The sequence below is a fragment of the Homo sapiens genome, chromosome 5, assembly GCF_000001405.40.
Source record: "Homo sapiens chromosome 5, GRCh38.p14 Primary Assembly".
Lineage (NCBI taxonomy): Eukaryota > Metazoa > Chordata > Mammalia > Primates > Hominidae > Homo > Homo sapiens.
The window spans coordinates 144,170,807-144,192,466 of record NC_000005.10 but is presented as its reverse complement, the minus strand read 5'-3'; the positions used below and the strand labels follow the sequence as shown (position 1 = coordinate 144,192,466).

The window sequence follows — 21,660 nt, the reverse complement described above, 5'->3', positions numbered from 1 at the left end:
CTCCCATTATAATGCAATTAAGTGAAACCTCATGACAAAATGTAATGATTAAGCAAACTATAAAAAGGCAGAACTTGATAGAATGAAATCGTGTATCACATTGAACATATGATTTCCTTTCTCTTCTGCCTTAAGTAAGCATTTCTTAGAAATCAAAAATTCATGTCAAGATCATCAAAGCCGACTTGAGACGTCATCAGGATTAACAATCTAGAGTAACAGAAGGGGGCAGTGTTATCACAGTCTCTTGCATCAACCTGAAACCTTGAAGAAGAGAAACTGAAAGTCACCCTGAGTAACACTGTTCACTTACCCAGCATCCTCAACTGAGTCCCAATTTCAATTACTAATTTCTTTCCACTTGTGAAGTCTTAAGCTCCCAAAGTCAGCAATGAGATGCCCCCTTTGGTCCACCAACTTGACATACCCTGCCAAGCCCTATAAGAAACTGATCCCTTCTCACTGTAGCCTCAAGAAATGCAAGCCTGTCTCTACATTTACCTTCATTATTAATTATTCTGCCTTTTACAGCATGAATGGTGAAAGAAATTCACTTGTATTGACCATATAAGAAAAATACTTTATATTTAACATGTTATCAGAAAAGGCCTAAAGTTTATTTGTACTGCTGAAAAAAAAAAAAATGGAAATACGCAGCTCCATGCAGAAGCACTGCCGCAAACACTCACTGTTAGCCTGAGATGCATAGAAAAACAGGGAACTGTCTCGGCTGTTGAGATAATTTAGCAGACAAGTCTAGAGAGAGATAAGTGGAGGCAAAAGCTGGTAAACACCCCCAAAGAGGAGGTGAGATTTCTTAAAGAAATCTGAGGAAGGATAACTCAGCCAGCTGTCTTCAGGGCTTAGGGAGGGAGGATGAGAGGAATGAGAGGAAATATCATGACTAGACAGAGTTGCTATTGCACTTTGAAGGACAGGTGGAACCTAGAAAACAGAAGCTAAAGGTTCTATGTAGAAGGGAAAAGTGGTTGAAAAAATATGTGTGTAAGTGTGTCAGGGGGTATATGGAGGGGAGCAGCAGTTGGGAAAAGAACAGTCAATTATCCAGTTTGGCTGGAGCAAAAGGCACCAGTGAAAGAACAGTGGAGGAGTTTGAACTTAATTCTGTAAACACTAAGTAGTCATTGTGAGTTTTTGAGCAGAAATGACAGAAACAAGTTTCTCAACGACCACCACTTCTACAGAGTAACTCAGAACTCATCTACCCTCTCCCCAGCATCCCTTTGCTCACTTATCAGGGAGGACTTCCACCAATGATTCCCATTCAATGTCCCCACTGACAGGTGTGGCTTTGACATTAAAGCAATAAGAATTTCCGTTTTTACAACAGTATTAAAAAATATTTTCCCTCTATCCCCCAGCCATGAAAGAAAGGGAAATAAAGATAAAAGCTGCTCTATTACCCATTTGGCAAAGTGAAGAATGGTGTACATTGAATGTCGCACATTAACGACAATCAGTGAGGCTCACCTTCAGCAGAGAATGAGAATGTTTTATGTGTGTTGTGGTGTGTGTGTGTCTGTGAGTGCCCATTCACTCATTCATTCAGTAAATGTTTGTTTAGTATGTTCCACATGCTAGGCATTGCCATAGGCAATGGGGATTCCACAATGAACACAAAAGAGCTGAAGCTCCTGCCTTCATAGAGCTCACATTCTAGACAATAAATGAATAAGCATATAGAATGTCAGATGATAATAAATATAGTGGAGAAAAATAAAATAGAATATTAATTACTATGTTACTGGGGAGGGGTATTAATAGCAAAGGGACAGAGGGGACAAGGAAAGAGGTAGGGGAAAAGTGTGTTCTTTAGTAGTTTAAGCTAAAAAAGGCTTTTTCCAGTCAGGTGAACTATAGTAAAGAAAGGAATTTTCATTCAACAATCAATCGTAATATTAATAGATATAATAATAGATACCAATTACTGAATCACTACTACATGACTGTCACTATGCTGAGCATTATTTCATTTATTCTTCACAATAAGCTTTGTTAGTGTGACACTTATAGGCACAAAGGAAAGTGAGGCATCGTAAGAAAGAGAGAGAACGGAAGGAGAGAGAAGCCAAGGTTCAGATAAGTCAAGTAGCTAGCCCAAGTGATCTTACGCAAATGTACAGAACGTGGATTTGAGTGCAGACACTCTGACTCCAAAGCCTGCACTCTTAACCCAGACACTGGGTTGAGGTACAGAGATAAATAAGTCATGGACTCTGCCTTGGAATTGCTCATAGTCTAGTAAGAGAGACAGACTCGTAAACAAATAAATCCAGTGCAGTGATAGGAGCTATAATAGAGGTATAATAGCGTTAAGGAGACACAGAGGAAAGAGTGACTAAGTGCCTGGCTGCGGGTGGGGTGAAGGGTTATCAAAATGCAGACATATTCATTTGTGCTTATGTAATTCATTGCTCTCGCTGGGTCTGGTTACTCACAACGAATCTGCAGTTCCCTCCAAAACCTTTTCCGGTGGATTTCCCCAGTCTGTCTTCACAGGTTGTGGGTTGTCAGCCTCATCCTGAATGCAATAAGTAGTTCTGACACAGAGGCCACATAAACTCTTTAAAGCCACTGTGGAGAAGGAAGGGAAATAACAATATAGCAGTCTACCTTAACTACCTTCATAAAAGGCTAAGGAATATGGCAACCATGTGAATTAAAATGAGATGACCAATATAAGGGAAAAGAGGAAAAATGCTGGCAAACCACCTGAAAAAACTAAAGGGCATGTGTATTGTGATACAAGGTGGCTGACAACAGTTACTCAGAAAGGAAAATTATATTCCGTGAAGGTCCTTATTACCTAGCACGATTTGCTTTAAGCCTCCATTCTTAACCTAGGTCTGCAAACGGGATTCACAAAATTCATGAATTCCCTGAAATTGTATGCAAAACTCTATGTACCTGCTCTACATTTTCTTTTTCTTTTTTCTTTTTTTTTTTTTTTGAGATGGAGTCTCACTCTGTCACCCCGGCTGAAGTGCAGTGGCGCAATCTAGGCTCACTGCAAGCTCCGCCTCCCAGGTTCACGCCATTCTCCTGCCTCAGCCTCCCGAGCAGCTGGGACTACAGGCGCCCGCCACCACACCCGGCTAATTTTGTTACTGTATTTTTAGTAGAGTCGGGGTTTCACCATGTTAGCCAGGATGGTCTCAATCTCCTGACCTCGTGATCCGCCCGCCTCGGCCTCCCAAAGTCCTGGGATTACAGGCGTGACCTGCTCTGCATTTTCTAGAGATCCCAAGAGTTCATCCAAATTTCAAAACAGTACATGTTCTCCAAGTAGGTTAAGAGCTGTGCGTTAAATACTTTCAGAACTGCTACTCCAGTAGATTTAAGTATAAAGAGCCTGGCATATCTTAGAGGGTCCAAAATGTCTAAGTGCATCCTTTGATATCATTGTTATTTATTGCCTTTATCAATGTGTTTGCAAATTACTGGTGCTACTTAGACACCCTACACATGAATATAAGGCCTTACCATGACAACAGGGCTTGCTTTTGATTATGTTGTGTATAGTTGATCTTTTATCTCTCTTTTGGAACTTCTTTGTAGAAAGATTCACTTTTCAAAGAAGCTGTTCACTCAGTATTGATTCTCAACTTTTTGTGGCAGGGGAGGGGAGGTGAGTATTTGATTAGGAATATTACAATGCCCCATTTGGTGTTTTCAAGCTGACCTCTCACCTGACTCTTTTCCACTCCAAACCCCTATTTCATAACTCAAGTTATTTATCTGTTGATACATTTCTCTTCATGTATATTTGGATCACCTTAGGCACAACAGCTTAAATTTTATTTTGGTTAGATGCCTCTTTATTACATTTGATTTATAGTCATTGAAAAAGTTTTGAGGATAGTGGAGAATCTTCCACCTTTTTACTGATGCTGCTCAATGACAAATTTGCCAGAGGTTGAAATGTCCTACCTACTAACCATCAGCCTAGCCACTTTTGGTTAAGCACCCTTTGTGGGTTAAAGAAAAGAGTTAGGATGAGAAAGCTTACCACCAGATGTATCATTCTAAACTCCATCAGGAAATGCATTCTTAAAACTAACTTTGACTATTTTCTCATGTACTTTCTCTTGACAGACATAAGAAAACAGATCTAGGATGAGAATGCGGCCTTAATGATTCCCTACTGCTAAATAACAGTAAATCTGGAAGAGGTACAAAGCTAATATCTATTAGCTTTTTGTAAGTACCAAAGGACAATACACATAGAAGGATCACATTAACAGAAAAATCCAGATGAAATGTAAGATATGGACAATTAATTACCAACCAAAACATTTGCCTAGACTCAACCCCATCAAAGAAGCCTTGCTGTTGTGATAAGAAGCAAGAAACCTATAATGATGGCAGATTATCAGAGCCTCTTGCCAACCCTGGTGAAAAACAACTCCAGATACATAATTTTTCAGTCTACTATGTCTAAGCTAGGCTCAGACAGAAGAGTGCTGTCTACTAGATTAACCACATCCACTTCCGGTGGGGCTGGAGACGTGGTTACTGAAGCAATGGCTTGTGCAAATATTTTTTGATGAAATCACAGCCTGAAGTAGAAGAGCTGCTGGCAAAAATAATCTAAACAAAGATCCTGGCTGGTTTCCAATAAATAGCCTTCTTTCCTCAAACATTTAACACAACCTAAGACATCTGGAACTTGTAGAATCATTTTTCCAGGCAAAAGCAAAAATTTTACAGAATATTTGATTAACAGCAAGACTCTGGGGTACACAAAGAAATCCAGAGATCAACTGCTAAAGAATAAATTTAATAAACAATTAAGCAATTAAGAAGTCTACCTACTGCCAGCCTCAAGTCATTAATGATTCAGTGAAAACAACTCATTTTCATATTTTCCTCTGTATATGCTTCATCAATAGAATTAAAATCTGAGGAAAAGGGGGAACCCAAGTGATATTTTGTTATAGCTAGAAGAATAAACAACATTTTTTCTCTCTTGCCCCCTGTGTGTATGTGTGTGTGTATATGTGTGTGTGTGTGTGTGTGTGAAATCAGCTCTTACCTTTGAAACTCTAAAATTTATTGACTCTGTTATTTTTTAATCCCTCCCTGTTAGAAATAGAAAGGCAGTGCTAGGAATGAATAGAAAATGAAGACTAAAATATTACCTGAAATTTGCATTCAATATGCATAGTAACAACTATTACAATAATGAGCCAGTACAATGCATTATGTCATTGGCAGGCAGAAAATTGTTATAAGTGGTTTGCAATATCTGTAGCTAATAATCTGGAAAAAAAAATGAGTCTAAGAAATAAATGAGATTTGTCAGATCTTTCAAATAAACATGTAAGAAGATTTGTGTTCTATGAACTATTTTTTATGTTTATGTATATATGGAATTTAGGAACTGAAAAGCCCTAAGGAGTTCTTTGACTATTTGAGGAGTGATTATTTGAATCATGTTTCTCTCCCCCAGTGACACTGTAAGCGCTGAGAGGGAAGGGATCATTATTATTTTTGTTCATTATTATATCCCATCCCCAGCACCTGGCACAGAACCTGACACATAATAGGTGTTGAATAAAGAGTTACTGAATGAATAGATGGATCAATACATCCCTATTCCAGTTTCTTTTTGTCTTCATTATTCAGCTGAGAAAACTGAGGCCAGAAAAGCTACACAGCTAATGTTACATTTCTAGTGGTTAAAAAAGTTAATAATCCTTTACCTTGATCAGTTTGGTAATATTAAAACTTTAACATACATAGAGTATATTGCCCTTGATGCTCTGTCTTTGGATTGGGCATGTGTTGAGGAGAAAATGTGGATACCTGGAAAACAGTTTGGCCTTGTTTAAACAAACTGGTTTTTTAAAGTCCTTCTGCTTTCTTTTAAGAGGTGAGAGAGCTTTGAGACAGACTTTTCAGCTATTTTTTAAAACTACAAATCTAGAATATTGTTAAAGCACATATAAATAAAATAAATGCAATGCTTATGATGATGAATAGTTCTGACTGGCAGCATGTACAATTTTTTATTTAAACTTTAAACCAATTCCCTTAGGCTCTGAACAGGGACAATAAGCCATTAGTTTTTTTTTTTTTCTTTTTTTTTTTAAAAAAAATGAGATCTAGCACAAACTTCGTAGAATATACTTCATATTTACATATTTCTTTCTTACATAACTGTAGACTTTAGATGCTAGTGTAAACTCTAATTGTTTTCTGGGTTGGCCATATGAGAGTCTCTGCTGTCTTTCCTGGTAGCAAACATCAAGCATAACTGATGAATTATTCTGTTTCTTTTGTGGGCCACAGTTTCCATATGTGACAAGTAAGCTACCTTATGATATGAATGATAGATTATAGAAGAGGCTCTGAAGACAGCCTGGTGTTCAAATGTTAGAATACAGAAGAGATTCTGAAGCTCACTTGGAGTTCAAATCTTGACTTCATCAACTGGGTCACCTAGGGCAAGTTATCATATTCCCTTCCAGGTACACCCAGAAACTTTTGCACCTCAGGTATCTTACCAGTAAAACAGGATGATAATAGCACTTGACTTAGAGAGTTCTTGTGAGGATTAATTGAGCCAATACATGTAAAATACTTAGGACAGCATTTATTATATAGTAAGTACTAAATTGATGTTACCTATTGTTATTATCTTTTTATTACTCAAATCATTCATGACAAGAAAGGGGTTTTTTTTTAATCTTAGTAATTTCACTCATGTATTTATTCCTAATGCAAAAAAGCTCCCTATCTCCCAAGAAAACAATAAAATGTAAATGGGTGTCTAGTAATACTGCATGAGAATTATCCCTCCCCTACTCCAGGTTTCTGTGCTTCAGGCTGTATTGCTGTCACCCTTGCTCCAGGTACAGGTGCATGACTTACTTGGGTAGACTGGTCACAGCATTTTATACTCCCTGCCACCATTTTTATTACAGCAATGGACATGAAGCTCAACCAGAGCCAAAAAAGATGTGATTTGGGAACATTTTCTGGGACCATTAAGATATATGATATTGTTTGAGCCACTGAATTCAAACAAATCTGAAGCTAGCTGTACCCTAGACTTGGCATCCACTGAGGCAATGAGTATCTTCCTACAATGCTATCAATTTGCATTTAATTTTCTGTTGTCTGAAATACAAACTTATACAGAAGAGGTGTCCAATAACAAAGATGTAGGTGATATTTTAAAAGACTGAGTAGGTGTCAGAGAGGCAAAATAATGTTGTGGTTAAGTGCATAGACTCTAAATCAACTTCCTAGGTACCCATCCTCACTCTACTGCTCAGCAGCCATTTGACTTTGGACAAGTCACTTACCTCTCTCTGCCTCTGTCTTCCTCTGCAAAATGAAGATAGTTAACAGTATCCATTTATAAGGAAGTTTTGAGGAGTAAATTAGTTAATATATGTAAGATATTTAGAACAGTGCCTGACACATAATAAGAGCAAGTTTTGGTTATTATTTTATATTTATTACTGAGATCTGAAATAATGGTGATGTAGTTTATCAAAAAGAACAAGGGAAATGGCTCTTACCATGTTGCTAACTAAAATTTTTCTGTAGACAGAGGAAGTAACTGATTAATTAAATGCACCTCTTTGTAGCAAAGGGCTTGAATAGACATTACTCCAAAGAATTTATACAAATGTCCAACAAGTGTATGAAAAGATGCTCAACATCACTAATCATCAGGGAAATGCAAATAAAAACCATAATAAGATATCACCTCACACTCACCAGCATGGCACTACAAGAAGGAAGAAAGAAAATAATAACAAGTGTTGGCTATCGTATGGAGCAATTAGAACCTTTGTGCACTGTTGGTGGGAATGTAAAATGGTGTTGCCACTATAGAAAACAGTATGGCAGTTTCTCAAAAATTAGAAATAGAATTACCATATGATCAGGCAATTCTACTTCTAAGTATATATCCAAAAGAATTGAAATCAGGGTCTCAAGTGGATATTTGTACACCCACATTCATAGGAGCATTATTCCTAAGAGCTAAAAGATGGAAGCAACCCAAGTGTCCATCAGTGATAAACAGATAAACAAAATGTGCCATAGACTTTAACATGGACGAACCTTGAGGACATTATGCTAAGTGAAATAAGCCAGTCATAAAAAGAATAATACTATATACAGTAGTCAAATGCATAGAAATAGAAGTAGAATGGTGTTTGCCAGAGCTGGGGTGGGAAGTTTAATGGAGATAGAATTTCACTTTGCAAGTTTAAAAAGTTATAGAGATTAGTTTCACAACAATGTGAATACACTTAACAACACTGAACTGTATACTTAAAAATAGTTAAGACAGCAAATTTTATGTTACATGGTATTTTACCAAGTTAATAATAAATAAAAATTGAATTTTAAAAAGTACGTCTTTATAGTTCTGTAGGCATCACAGTACCTGATTAAGCTGGTACTAATATTGAATGAATAAATGAATGATAATGTAACAAACCTAATGACAAAACAAGTAAAGGGTGAGGTAGTTCAAGGAGTTGAAATTGTCACGAAGTAAAGTAGAATCAAGTATCAAGCACTATGTACAAGATTTATGGTAAAGATAAAACATACTACATAGTATTATGTAAAGCATGAAACCTATAAATATAAGTTCTAGCCTTGATTCATTTATACTTTTATTTATAACATATAGCAAATATTTACTAAGCACCTACCATTTGCTAGGCACTATTCTTGTTCATCAATGAACAAAAATGCCCTGTCTTCCTGAGGCTTATTTCTAGTAGGGTAGGAGAAGGCAGCAATATACAATTTCTAGTTCTAGCTGGATGTGTGACACCAGACTAGTCCCGCGAGTTTTCTGGGGCTTAGTTTCCTCATGTATAAAGCAATGTGCATGTGGCAGAGGAACAGAATGGTACTTTTCCTTCTTATATTCCACAAGATTTGAAAATTATTTTTAAATATGGGACAAGGCCATAAAAAGCCACTAGGGGGCAAAATGAGCATGGAATAAACATTTTACTGATGTGAAATTGTAGAGACGAAAAGGAGAGTCATCCTTTATGCATCATTAAAAAAATAAGCAAACAGCAAATGTTGTGCATCATTATAGGTAGAGAAAGAGCACTACGGAATAGTTATCCAACTGTGTTTTATTCTATGAGTAAATTATTTTATTTTGAGACCATGTTTTTATAGGGAAGAACAGTGTGCAAGAAGCAGAATACTCCACTAGTAATTGAATAACATTTCTAAATGTATGTAATAACAGTAAAACCATATCCACAGAAACACAAAACACCAATAAGTAGATTCAATACTGAAGTAGCCCTTTACTTACATGTTAGGATCTAATATATATTTAGAATTCTTTCTTTCACGTTTATTTTGCTTTGGTCTTACTCCCACTCTTTTATTTTTTTTTTTTATGTTTCATTACATAAAGTTAAGGTGTACAACATGACTTTTTATATACATGTACATAGAGAAATGATTACAAGTAAGCAACTTAACATATCCATCATCTCACAAGATACTCTGTGTATGTATATGTGTTAAGTAACAACAAACAATAATAACAAAGAAATAATAATAACAAACATAACTGGGAGTGAAGAAAGGTAAAAGGTAATTAAGATCACAATTGTACTTAATCTTAAGAAACTTTTTCTTTAACCTGTCTCTGTCTGTCTTTCTCTCTCTCTCTCTCTTTCTCTCTCTCTCTCTCAGACAGGGATCTCCCTGTGTCAGCCTAGGCTGGAGGGCAATGGCACCATTATGGCTCACTGCAGCCTCAATCTCCCGGGCTCAAGCAATCGCTGGTGTGTGTGTGGTAAAAGCACCTAAAATCTACTCTTTGAAAATGTCCATTATGCAATAGTATATTATTAACTATCACCTTCATAGCCCTCCTGCTGTATTTTGGATTTCAAGATGTGCTAATCCTCATAACTGCTACTTTGTACCCTTTGACCTACATATCTCAATCCCTTCTTCCCCTGGCCTATGGTAACCATCATTCTATTCTGCTTTTGTATATTTAAAGGGCTTTGTTTCTCTGTTTGCTTTTAGATTCCACATATGTTTTAGTCTGTTTTCTACTGCTATAACAGAATGCCACAGACTGGGTACTTTATAAGCAATAGAATTTTATTTGGCTTATCATTCTGGAGGCTGTGAAGTCCAAGAGCATGGTGCTGGCACCTGGCAAGAGTCATCCATGCCAGAAGGTGAAGGGGGGAAGTGACCACACAAGACAGAGAAATGAATGGGGATAACCTTATTAGGAGCCCACTCCTGCCATAACTAACATAATCCTGCGATAACAGCATCAATCCCTTCATGAGAGCTTAACTCTAGTGGCCTGATAACTTTTTTTTTTTTTTTTGAGATGGAGTTTCACTTTTGTTGCCCAGGCCAGAGTGCAGTGGCGCGATCTCAGCTCACTGCAACCTCCACCTCCCAGGTTCAAGCTACTCAGCCTCCCAAGTAGCTGGAATTACAGGCACGTGCCACCACGGCTGGCTAATTTCTGTATTTTTAGTAGAGATGGGGTTTTGTCATCTTGGCCAGCCTGGTCTCAAACTCCTGACCTCAGGTGATCCACCTGCCTCAGTCTCCCAAAGTGCTAGGATTACAGGCATGAGCCACCGTGCCCTGCCCTGATCACCTCTTAAAGGCCTCACCTCTTAATACTGTTACAATGACCATTCAGTTTCCAACACAACAACTTTTTGATGGACACATCCAAACCACAGCAACATACAAAGGAAATCATGCAGTATTTTCCTATGTCTGCTTTATGTCACTTAACATAGTGTCCTCCAGTTTCATCCATGTTGCACAAATGGCAGAATCTCCTTCTTTACAAAAGCTGAATAATATTCAATTATACACACAAACACCACCACCAACAACAAATTTTTTATTCAATCATCCACTGATGGACATTTAGGTTGTTTCCATATCTTAGCTATTTTGAAAAATGCTGCAATGAACATGGGAGTGCAGGTATCTCTATAAGGTGCTGATTTGATATCCTTTGGCTATATAGACCCAAAAGGGAATTGCTGTGTAGATACTGCTACTAACCAACATAGGCCTCTCAGATTACACAAGAACGTTCACTATTCTTTGTTTTGTTTTGTTTTGTTTTTCAATTACATCCCATTGAGAAGTGGTGGTTTTAAAAACATGTTTAAAAAATATTTGAAAATCTTTGCATAAAAAGTTGCAGTATAGGCTGGGCACGGTGGCTCACGCCTGTAATCCCAGCACTTTGGGAGGCAGAGGCGGGCGGATCATGAGGTCAGGAGATCGAGACCATCCTGGCTAACACAGTGAAACCCCGCCTCTACTAAAAAATACAAAAAATTAGCCGGGCGTGGTGGTGGGCGCCTGTAGTCCCAGCTACTCGGGAGGCTGAGGCAGGAGAATGGCGTGAACCCGGGAGGCGGAGCTTGCAGTGAGCCGAGATCGCGCCACTGCACTCCAGCCTGGGCGACAGAGCGAGACTCCGTCTCAAAAAAAAAAAAAGAAAAAAGAAAAAGTTGCAGTATAATTGTCTTTTCCTTGAATATGGACCAGCTTTAGAGACACGTTTTCTAGCCAATAGAATGCCTCAGAATATCACATGACTTCCAAGGATGATGTAGAAATGGTAATACAGCTTTTTTTCTCTCTCTCAGGATACTCTTCCCCAGACTACAGCCGCCATGTTTTGAGGAAGCCCGTACCACATGAAGAAACCATGTGTATATGTTCTGTTTGAAAGCTCTAGCTGAGATCCCAACCTGCAGCCAGCATCAGCAGTCACATATGTGAATGAGCTTTCAGATGAATTCAACATTCAGCTTTTGAGCTCCCCAGCTGAAGTTGTGTGGAACAGAGATGAGCTACCCCCAACAAGCCTGCCCAAATTTTGGATTTTCAAGAAATAAAATGTTATTGTTATGGTTTTAATCCACCAAGTTTTGAGATTTTTGTTCTTTTGTCTTCTTGGAGTTTTTTGTTTGTTTGTTTGTTTTTCTTTACAAGGCAACAGATAATTGGAATGAGGGATAGTTACATTGAGAAATATGGCAGAAGAATTTAAGGAAATGAACTACCAGGGGATTAAATGAGTGCTTCTGTGGAGTCCTGTTGGCATGGATCCACTCCCCCTTGCCCTGAACAAAATAAAAAGTTCTCAAAGTATGCTATCCCTCAGTGTCTAATCCCATGTGCACTAATGCTCAGGACTGTGGGTCTTAGAAACAGATGAATGTTTCTCATGTAGGAGCATCATTATCACTGACAGCAAGGATAGTCATTGGCAGATCACTATACCCATCTTCCCAAGCAGCAGATCTCCAAATTAGAATCTTTTCTTGGTTCAGACCTTCCAGTTCACAAAGAATGGTGATCCTGGCTTGTATGGAAGCACAGTAATGACCTCATCAAGCTAGAAGCACTGAGGAACAGGAGCATTTCTCCAGGCAGAGGACTGATGCCAGTGAACTTGCAAGCACCCACAGGGAAAATGGGCGAGTAGAACTATGTCAAGCTTAAAAAACCATAGACAGACACAGAATCTGTTTGTTGTATATTGTGACTGGCACATGGTAGGTTCTCAATAAATCTTTGTTAAACGAATGAATAAATACCACAAACAACATTATTTTATGTCCTAGAGTTGGGATACAAAAGTAAATATAACATAACCTCTCTTCTAATAGAGTTTCTGACATAACTAGATGGTTATAATCACTTATTTATCACCTAATCTTTGTCATGTACTAGCCGAAAGGCAAAGACAAGATTCAATGGTGAATCTGATACTAGTCTTATTAGTAAAATTGATCAAATCCCTTGTTCTGATAGTCTTCTATCTACCATGTTGGTGAAGGAAGGATCCCTGTTCCCAAATAGTACAAGATGGATGAGCTCATGATATACTCAACACTGGACAGATGAGACTGGCAGCAGTTTATTAATCACATACACTCACAGCCTGGGAGAGAGGAGCCTGCACGCATGCAGGGATACATAGTGGTTACACTCAGGAGCAGAGTGAATAAGCAGGGCCTGTGGTGTACAGTATCTAGAGGATGAGTTGCCTCCTGGTTCCCATGGGGGGAGGGGGATGTAATTTGCTTCTTTGAATAATTTTACCAGCTCATAAGAAGGCAAAACCACTTGGGTTGAGGCCTGAGTGGGGTGGCTGATAGGGGAACCTGCCTGGTGGGGAGACTTTTCTGCTGGGTAGGGGACATATCTGGCAAGAGCAAGGGAACTCATGGCCAAACCTTTAGGAACCTGTGAGGGTCAGAAATGTCAAGTCAACACATGCAACTGTAGGTCTTACAATACATACCTTCACTTCTCCTGGCCTCAGATCCTCATTTGTAAAGTCAAAGAGTGGGGAATGAATTCTCTCAAGGTTCCTGCCAGTTTTAATTCTCTTTAATTCTTAATATGTGTAGCCAGTTAAACGAGGGGTGTTTTGGTCATTTTCTGATGCACGTGCTGTCCTGATTGTTCTATGAAGATCAGTCTATTCTTGTTAACTTTAGAGCTATCTCAGTGAATTCAGGCCAATTTCCTAGGGGCCTCTCAAAATTTTAATATGAAGTTGAGACATTTAATTTCCAGGGAGTGGGAAGGGGATGTAGTGTATTATAATATTTAGTACAGAAGTCAATTTTTAAATTAAAAGGAATAACTTTTAATTAGAGTCAAGAAAAGAAATGACATTTATAAATCTAGAATCAAATAATATTTTAAATGATGTTAATCTTTCCAAAATAACATCTTAGCAAGAGTTAAGAAATGTTTATATTCTCTTCCAGAGAGGAAAATTCATTATCACAGACAGCAGGGGATTTATGATTTTCATTAAATTGTATAAAATTAGGACTGCAGAAGAATAATAAAAAACATCTTGACTGCTTCACCTAAAATCAAAAGGAAAAAATGTGTTTATCTTTGACTTCTAGATCTAAGTGTGCAGAATTTAATTAAAATCAGACATTTGATTTCACATGTCTCTGTTTAAAAATAAAATAAACCTCATTTAAAGAAAAGAGTTAAGTATTATAATTAGTCTTAATAACAAAAAATCATATCTAAGTACATTAAAAGCATTATGATTATAATAACTTTTTCTTCTATGGAAGAAAACTGAAAAATCAGAATGCCTACTTTTATAGTTCTACTTCATATTTTTAAAAATCATCACGAGTGAAAAAAATCAATAAAATAACATTGTTTAAGAACTGGTACTGTAGACATTAAGAGTTTCCTTTAGCAGGCTTTTACTCATTTATAAACATAATGGCCTCTTACTTTGTTTCAGAAAGTCTGATGAAAAATATTCCAGCATGTGTCTTTCTACAAGCATGAGATTGACTTTAAACCCAATGTAAAAAGTTTACTTTGGGACAAGTGTTAAACTAGACATCCAAAATGATGCAGTTGAAGTCTCCATTGCTACAGATTTGATTCAAAAGGTTTGCCACTCTGCAATAGTGACAACAAATTGACATTGACATGAATAGCTGATCAAAGTGAAAAAAAATCAGATTATTGTTCTTTCGAGCATGTGTGTAGCAAAAGACTTAGTCTATATTTGGGCAAAAGAATGCAGTAACATCATAAGGCTGGTATGAATTCAACTGTACATCCCCCCAAAAGACATATTGAAGTCCTTACTCCCAGGACATCAGAATGTGACCTTATTTGAAAATAAGATCTTTACAGAGATAATCAAATTAAAATGAGGTCATCTGGGTAGGTGCTAAACCAACATGACTCGTGCTCTTAAAAAAGGGAAATGTGGACACAGAGACAGGCATACACAGAGAGAAGACTATGCGAAGACCATGTCAAGGTGAAGGCAGAGATTGGACTGATGCATCTACAAGCTAAGGAATGTCAAAGATTGCTTTCAAAGCACCAGAAGCTGCAAAAGAGGTACGGAGCAGATTCACCCTCACAGCCCTGAGAAGGAAAAAGCCTTGCCAAAACCTTGATTTCAGGTTTCTAACCTCCAGAACTCTAAGACAATAAATTTCATTTATGTAGGCCACCCAGTTTGTGGTACTTTGTTACAGCATCCCTAGGAAACTAATCCAGTCTGAATTCTATTTTTTCAAACCATCACTTTAGTCTCATCCCTTCCATTCCTCAACAGCAGTATAATGTTCCTTCTTACCAATAATTTCTGCACAAATTACAATGATATACAGATATGACAGCATGACAGTTACTGTGGTTCAAGCATTAACCTTCTTTAAAATAACTCTAATTGAGAGAGTTGTGAGGAATTCTTCTTCTTTTTTTAATTCTGGAAGAAAACCCAGAAAATACCCTTCTCAACACTGGTCCTGGCAAAGAGTTTTTGATGTAGGTCCCCAAAAGCAATTGCAACAACAACAACAAAAAATTGACAAGTGGGACCTAATTAAACTAAAGCGCTTCTGCACAGCAAAAGTAAACAACCTACAAAATAAGAGAAAACATTTACAAAGTATGCATCCAAAGTATGCATCTGGTTACAAAGATTTAGTAACCAGAATCTATAAGGAACTTAAATCGACAAGAAAAACAAATAACCACATAAAAATGGACAACAGATATGGTCAGGAAGAATTCTAACAGAAAAATAGAAAAAGTATACTGCCTAGAGAACCTAAACCATAATATATCACGCTTGCAGTAATTTTTAAGCTGTTCTCTTGTTGAGTATAATAAAATCTGACACATCTATGATTTTAAGAAACACTATATCTTGGCCGGGCGCGGTGGCTCACGCCTGTAATCCCAGCACTTTGGGAGGCCGAGGCGAGTGGATCATGAGGTCAGGAGATCGAGACCATCCTGGCTAACAAGGTGAAACCCCGTCTCTACTAAAAATACAAAAAATTAGCCGGGCGCGGTGGCGGGCGCCTGTAGTCCCAGCTACTCGGGAGGCTGAGGCAGGAGAATGGCGTGAACCCGGGAAGCGGAGCTTGCAGTGAGCCGAGATTGCGCCACTGCAGTCCGCAGTCCGGCCTGGGCGACAGAGCGAGACTCCGTCTCAAAAAAAAAAAAAAAAAAAAAAAAAAGAAACACTATATCTTTAAAAATTGTTATGGCTATTATTTCATTTGCCTGGGACACTGCCTTTTTCTTTCTTTGCCAATAAATATATTTTCCACAATATAAATCATCTTATGCTCTGTCTCCTGATAAATTCTGTGTTTTAGGGGAAGAGAGGAGAGAAAGGGAAGGCAGAAAGATGGACACTTTTCATAGTATTTGAAATAAGATGAAACATATCAAGAAAATCGAATATGAGAAGCACTGTTCACAATTTTCAAGTATAATTGCCCTAAATATAGGCGGTTCTTAAGACAATACTTATGAGACTAAAATTTACAATGCAGACAAGCCAAATTTGAAAGATCTTGGACAGAGATAAAAAAGCATATTTTAATACACTCCACCATATCAAAAAGCAAATTATAATATAATACAGAATCTGCAGGGGAAACAATAGAGTGAATGTTTATAATTGATCTTAGAAGTAGTTAGCTTGTTCAAACCTAATCCTTATAGCTTTTAAAAAGACAATTTTTCCTGAAGAAATCATATTGCTTCTGTAGCTACATAGATTCATCAATAATTATTGCAAATATTTATGGAATACTTAGTACTTAGACACTTATACTTGAATACATTATATCATACAACCCTTCTAGCAATGAATACTCCTATCTTGCTTTTACAGATGAGAAAAGTGAGGCACAAAGAGTTTAAATAAATTACTGAAGCTCCATGGCAAGTAAGTAGTACAGAATGTAAATCCATGCAGTCTGGCTCCAGGGCCTCTACCCTTAACTACTATGCAATATCAATTAACATACATGACTAATGTAACATAAACTTAAACATAAGGTTTAAATATTATTTGCCCAATGAGAAGATTACAGAAAATATTTTTATCAACTTGAATATATATACATGTGGAGACACAGATGCAATTATCAAATGTCTAGTTGCAATTTTAATTTATATGGATTTCAGTAATCGCATTTTAGATAAATTAGTATATTAATCAGAATTATTGACTTTTCTTCATTCACATTTCATAACACAATAACAATACAGCCTACTGCTTTAGCATAAGGACTCAGGAACAAGTTCAAAATGTCTAGTCTACTATTTTCTACCATAATAATGTTTAACAAATTACTTACTCTGTTTCAATTTCCTCATGTGTCAAATGGGCATTACATGGCACCTACCTCATTGGGTTGTCAGGAGGAGGAGTAATTGAGTTAAAAAGTGCAAAGTGCTTAAAGAAATGCTTGGCACACAAATTCTTGAAGTATAAATAGGTGTTAGCTGTCATATTTTTCAAATGCTTCATTTTTACCTTTGGCATGAGTGGCTTTGCCATCATTAGAGCCCACTTTGAGTTCTCCCGTGCTGTTTTTCATATTATCTCCCCTACTACCCAAATTATTTGAAATACAGACTTCAGTGCTTCAGTGCTTTCACTGAAATTCATATTCCAAGCCACAATAGCCATTCACCTGACATTAGAAAGGTTTGTTACTGAAGAGGGTATTTTTGATCTCTACAATGAAAATATTTACAGTATTTACAATATTGCTTATATGTTATCTTTAAAAGACTTATTTTTAACAACATGCAGCACTTGCAATACTGAAGTCAAGCTTCCAGGAATAGTTATAAAATTGGGGTTAAATTTCTTTGCCTTTTAAAAACCAGTTCTGTACAAAAGCATCCAATGCCATTACGGGCAAACCTGTCTTCCCAAAACTATTCATCGTTCAAAGTAAAATAATTGAAACAAAAGAAGCAGAATTTGAATAACCTAGTACAGGAGACTTGATGAGGAAACTCTTTGGTAGGGGAAAAAAGATAATTTGGAGGAAATATAATTGTCATATTTGGGAAAAGAGGTTACATAGTTAATATATAGGGAGAGTAAAAACAAACACTGGCACTTACATTGGTTTTTACCATTATTGTCAGGTTTCATTGTGGAACTTGACTGAAATACACAGAGCTGCCAGATCTCCACTTCATGTGATGCTTGTGGATATAGCTGACGGTAGGAGAAAACTGCCCATGTTCAAACCATAATTTTCTGGCACAACTTTTCATGACATATGAACTGAAAAACAGAAGGGAAAGAAAGTAACTCTAAAATATCTTAGTTTCAGAGCCATACTAAGAAAATGGAGTTGTTTTGCGTGTGTTTGTGAAGCATGTAAAAGTGTTAGTGTGTATACTAACATGACTGTCTAACTAAATGATATTACTCATTATTAGGATGTCCTTTCCCTTTTTGTTTTGGTGATGGATACATTAGGTCCCAGGGAAGGACTGCGCAGCTATTACAAGTCTAGCTCATGTTGCCTCATCTCTTGACCTAGGGTGAGGCTTTCTACTCCTAATAAAGCCAGCTGGGTGACTTTAACAGAGGACGGCACATTTACCAAGTACTCCAGTCTCCTTTAATATAACTTTCTGGAGCCTATCCCAGAGTGAGGGAGCAATGCCAAAAAAAAAAAAAAAATCCAAAAAGAAATTCCTACGTGACTAGCCATGAAATTAGTGGATGTTCTCAAAATTTCTAAGGGGCATCAGCAGGATACCTTGGCTTACATTTCAAAGTCAAATAAACAATATGCAAAACTTAATCAGGTAACTCAATGTTCTTGCTTGGCTTCTCAATTGGAGCAGAAATTCAAAGGGGAAAATTTAAATAAATACGTTAATTGCTTTCAGAGACAGAAGTAGAATTTGAATAATATCTATATCTAATAATTCATTCCTAAACAGGCAAATTTTTTAAATTTTAAGTTCAGGGGTACAGGTGCAGGTTTGTTACATAGATAAACTTGTATCATGGGGGTTTGTTGTACAGATTATTTCATCACCCAGGTATTAAGCCTAGTATCTATTAGTTATTTTTCCTGATTCTCTCCCTCCTCCCTCCAATATGCCCCACTGTGTGTTGCTCCCCTCTATGTGTCCATGTGTTCTCATTATTTAGCTCATACTTATAAGGAGAATATGTGGTATCTGGTTTTCTGTTCCTGCATTAGTTTGCTAAGGATAATGTCCTGCAGCTCCATCTATGTCCCTGCAAAGGACATTACCTCATTCTACTTTTTATGGCTGTATAATATTTCATGGTGTATATGTGTCACATTTTCTTTATCCAGTCTATGATGGATGGACATTTAAGTTGCTTCCATGTCTTTGCTACTGTGAATAGTGCTGCAATGAACATACACATGCATGCGTAGTTATGATAGACTGATTTATATCCTTTTGGGTGTATTCCCAGTAATGGGATTGCTGGGTCGAATGGTATTTCTGTCTTTAGGTCTTTGAGGATTCGCCACACTGTCCTCCATAATGGCTGAACTAATTTACACTCTCACTAACAGTGTATACGCATTCCTTTTTCTCTAAAACCTCGCCAGCATCTAAATCAGCAATTTTTAATGCTCATATTCTTGTAGCTCATTCAAATTTGAAAGGGATATCCTTTTTGATTCAGAAGAAATAGAAACATCAGAAAAAAACAAAAGAGACTAGAATTTTTTTAACCATAAGATTAATTAAATAGATAATGATGGATTATTGCATCTTATTGATGACTCGAAACACAGCTTCATGGATAATGTAGCTTAAAGAAAGTACAATCACAAAGTTTATCAACTGAATTAGGATATTTTTGAGAGTAAAAGGGAGCAACATTAATAATTATGCTGAGGGTAAGTAAAAATAGGCAGAAAATGGGACAATGGAATTGTCTCCAGCAAATCATAATATGTGGTCATTCTACCTGAAGTTGTGCAGATGATACCTAAACCAATAAATGCTAAAATGATTGATGAAAGGTGGTGAACACTTGAATGAGCAATTTCAGAAATTCAAAAATATAGTTAGAAAGCACAAAAATCTAGTGTTCAGTGGCAAAATAGGGTAGCTATAGTTAACAATAATTTATTGTATAGTTCAAAATAACTAGGAGTAGATTTATAATTTTCTCTACACAAAGCAATGACAAATGTCTGAGGCGACAGATATATCTCAATTACCCAGATTTCATTATTACACATTGTATGCTTGTATCAAAATGTCACATTTATCTCATAAATATGTACAACTATGATGTATCCACAAAAATAAAACAAATAAATTCGCTAATGGGTAAAAACCTCAAAGGGCAGCTGCCTGTTGGTCTCTAGAGTACAATCCTAGGTTTTTTGGTTGGGTCTTACATCCTTTTGTTGTTGCTATTTTTGTTTGGAGGGGAGTGCGTTTTCTGTTTGTTTTATTGGGGTGGGGGGTGTTGAGAGAAAAGTTTTAAGTGAAATTTTATTGTTCCTTTGGAAACTAGTCCCCAACAATGGTCTGGCTTCTTTTGTGAGGGCCTCAGGATTTTGATCCCAGAATATAATGCAGTGGCTCATGATAAATTTTATTGCTATAAACCCTGAAGAAAGTTCTGCTCATTAGTTAATAGCATCTTATTTCGAGTCACAATATTCGGGATTCCACCATCTTGGGAAAGTGATTTAACACAGGAGCCAAAGCAATCATTTTCAAAAGAAAACAATTTAAACATCACTCATCAGTTCACAATCTTCACTTCTTTTAGAACCAACACACAAATCCCACAGGATATTTCCTGGCCCCTTCCTGTTATTCCAGCCTCAACTCCTATGTGGCTCCCCTCACTTGCTGTTCCAGTCACTCAGGTTCCACTTAGAAGAGTGGTTGACAAATTCAGCTAATGTTGCCCCCACCGCCCCCAAGGACATTTGGATTTGGCAATGTCTGGAGAGATTTTTAGCTGTCACAACTTGGTGGTGATGGTGGTGGTGGTTGGTTGGGGGGAGTACTGGCATCTAATGGCTAGAGATTAGGGATGCTACTGCTAAGCATCATGCACAGGGCAGCCCCCAATAAAGAAACATCCTGACTCAAAATGTTAATAATGCTGAAGTTCAGAGCTCGATTTTCATCTTTCCTCAGACCATGCTTCCCAGATCTTGCACACATTGTTCTCTTTGCCTAAAATATTCAGGCTATTTTCCCTTATCCTCCTTTCCCGTTGCCCTTTCTTCTCTTTTCTGGTCTTCTCTAACTCCCACTCACCCTTTGATAACCCTCTTATAGTGGCTTTACAGACTCTTCTTCCCAGATGAATGTTACTCTTTCAAAGAATTATGGAACACTAAAGAATATTAGTAGCAATTTCACATGCATTTGTATGTGTTCGATTACCCCTCTCCACCACCAACTCCAGGTGGGTAGATGTCACCTAGCTTATATTTACCACAGTATCCCCAGCAGCTAGCACAGAATGAATGAATACTTAATAGCTTCACTTACAAAAGGGAAATAGGGTAACCATCTCATTAGGTTGTAAAGATTAAATAATACATACAAACACTTTAGCACAGTGCTTGAATCACAGTAAATGCTGACACCGAGGCATTGTAGGCATTGTAGTTTGTGGACAGGAGAGGGGACTCCGTCTGTCTCATTTTAGCGCCTCCCAGTCTTCCTCCATCACCTAGGTCTGAGAAACTCCTCCTCCTACCTACGAGTAAGCAGCAATTGCTACGCCTGCGCTTTCCTGGTTCCACC

At 37.4% G+C, this 21,660-nt stretch overlaps 1 protein-coding gene across 2 annotated transcripts in view; it reads right to left on the bottom strand.

Moving 5' to 3' along the window:
- Positions 1-21,594, bottom strand: part of KCTD16 (potassium channel tetramerization domain containing 16) — a 314,814-nt gene extending 293,220 nt beyond the window's left edge. For both annotated transcript variants that reach the window (NM_020768.4, XM_047417449.1), the window contains exons 1-2: positions 21,458-21,594; positions 17,995-18,160 (exon numbers count right to left, since the gene is read on the bottom strand). The gene's annotated coding sequence lies outside the window, so the exon portion shown is untranslated. The remainder of the gene's footprint in view (positions 1-17,994; positions 18,161-21,457) is intronic.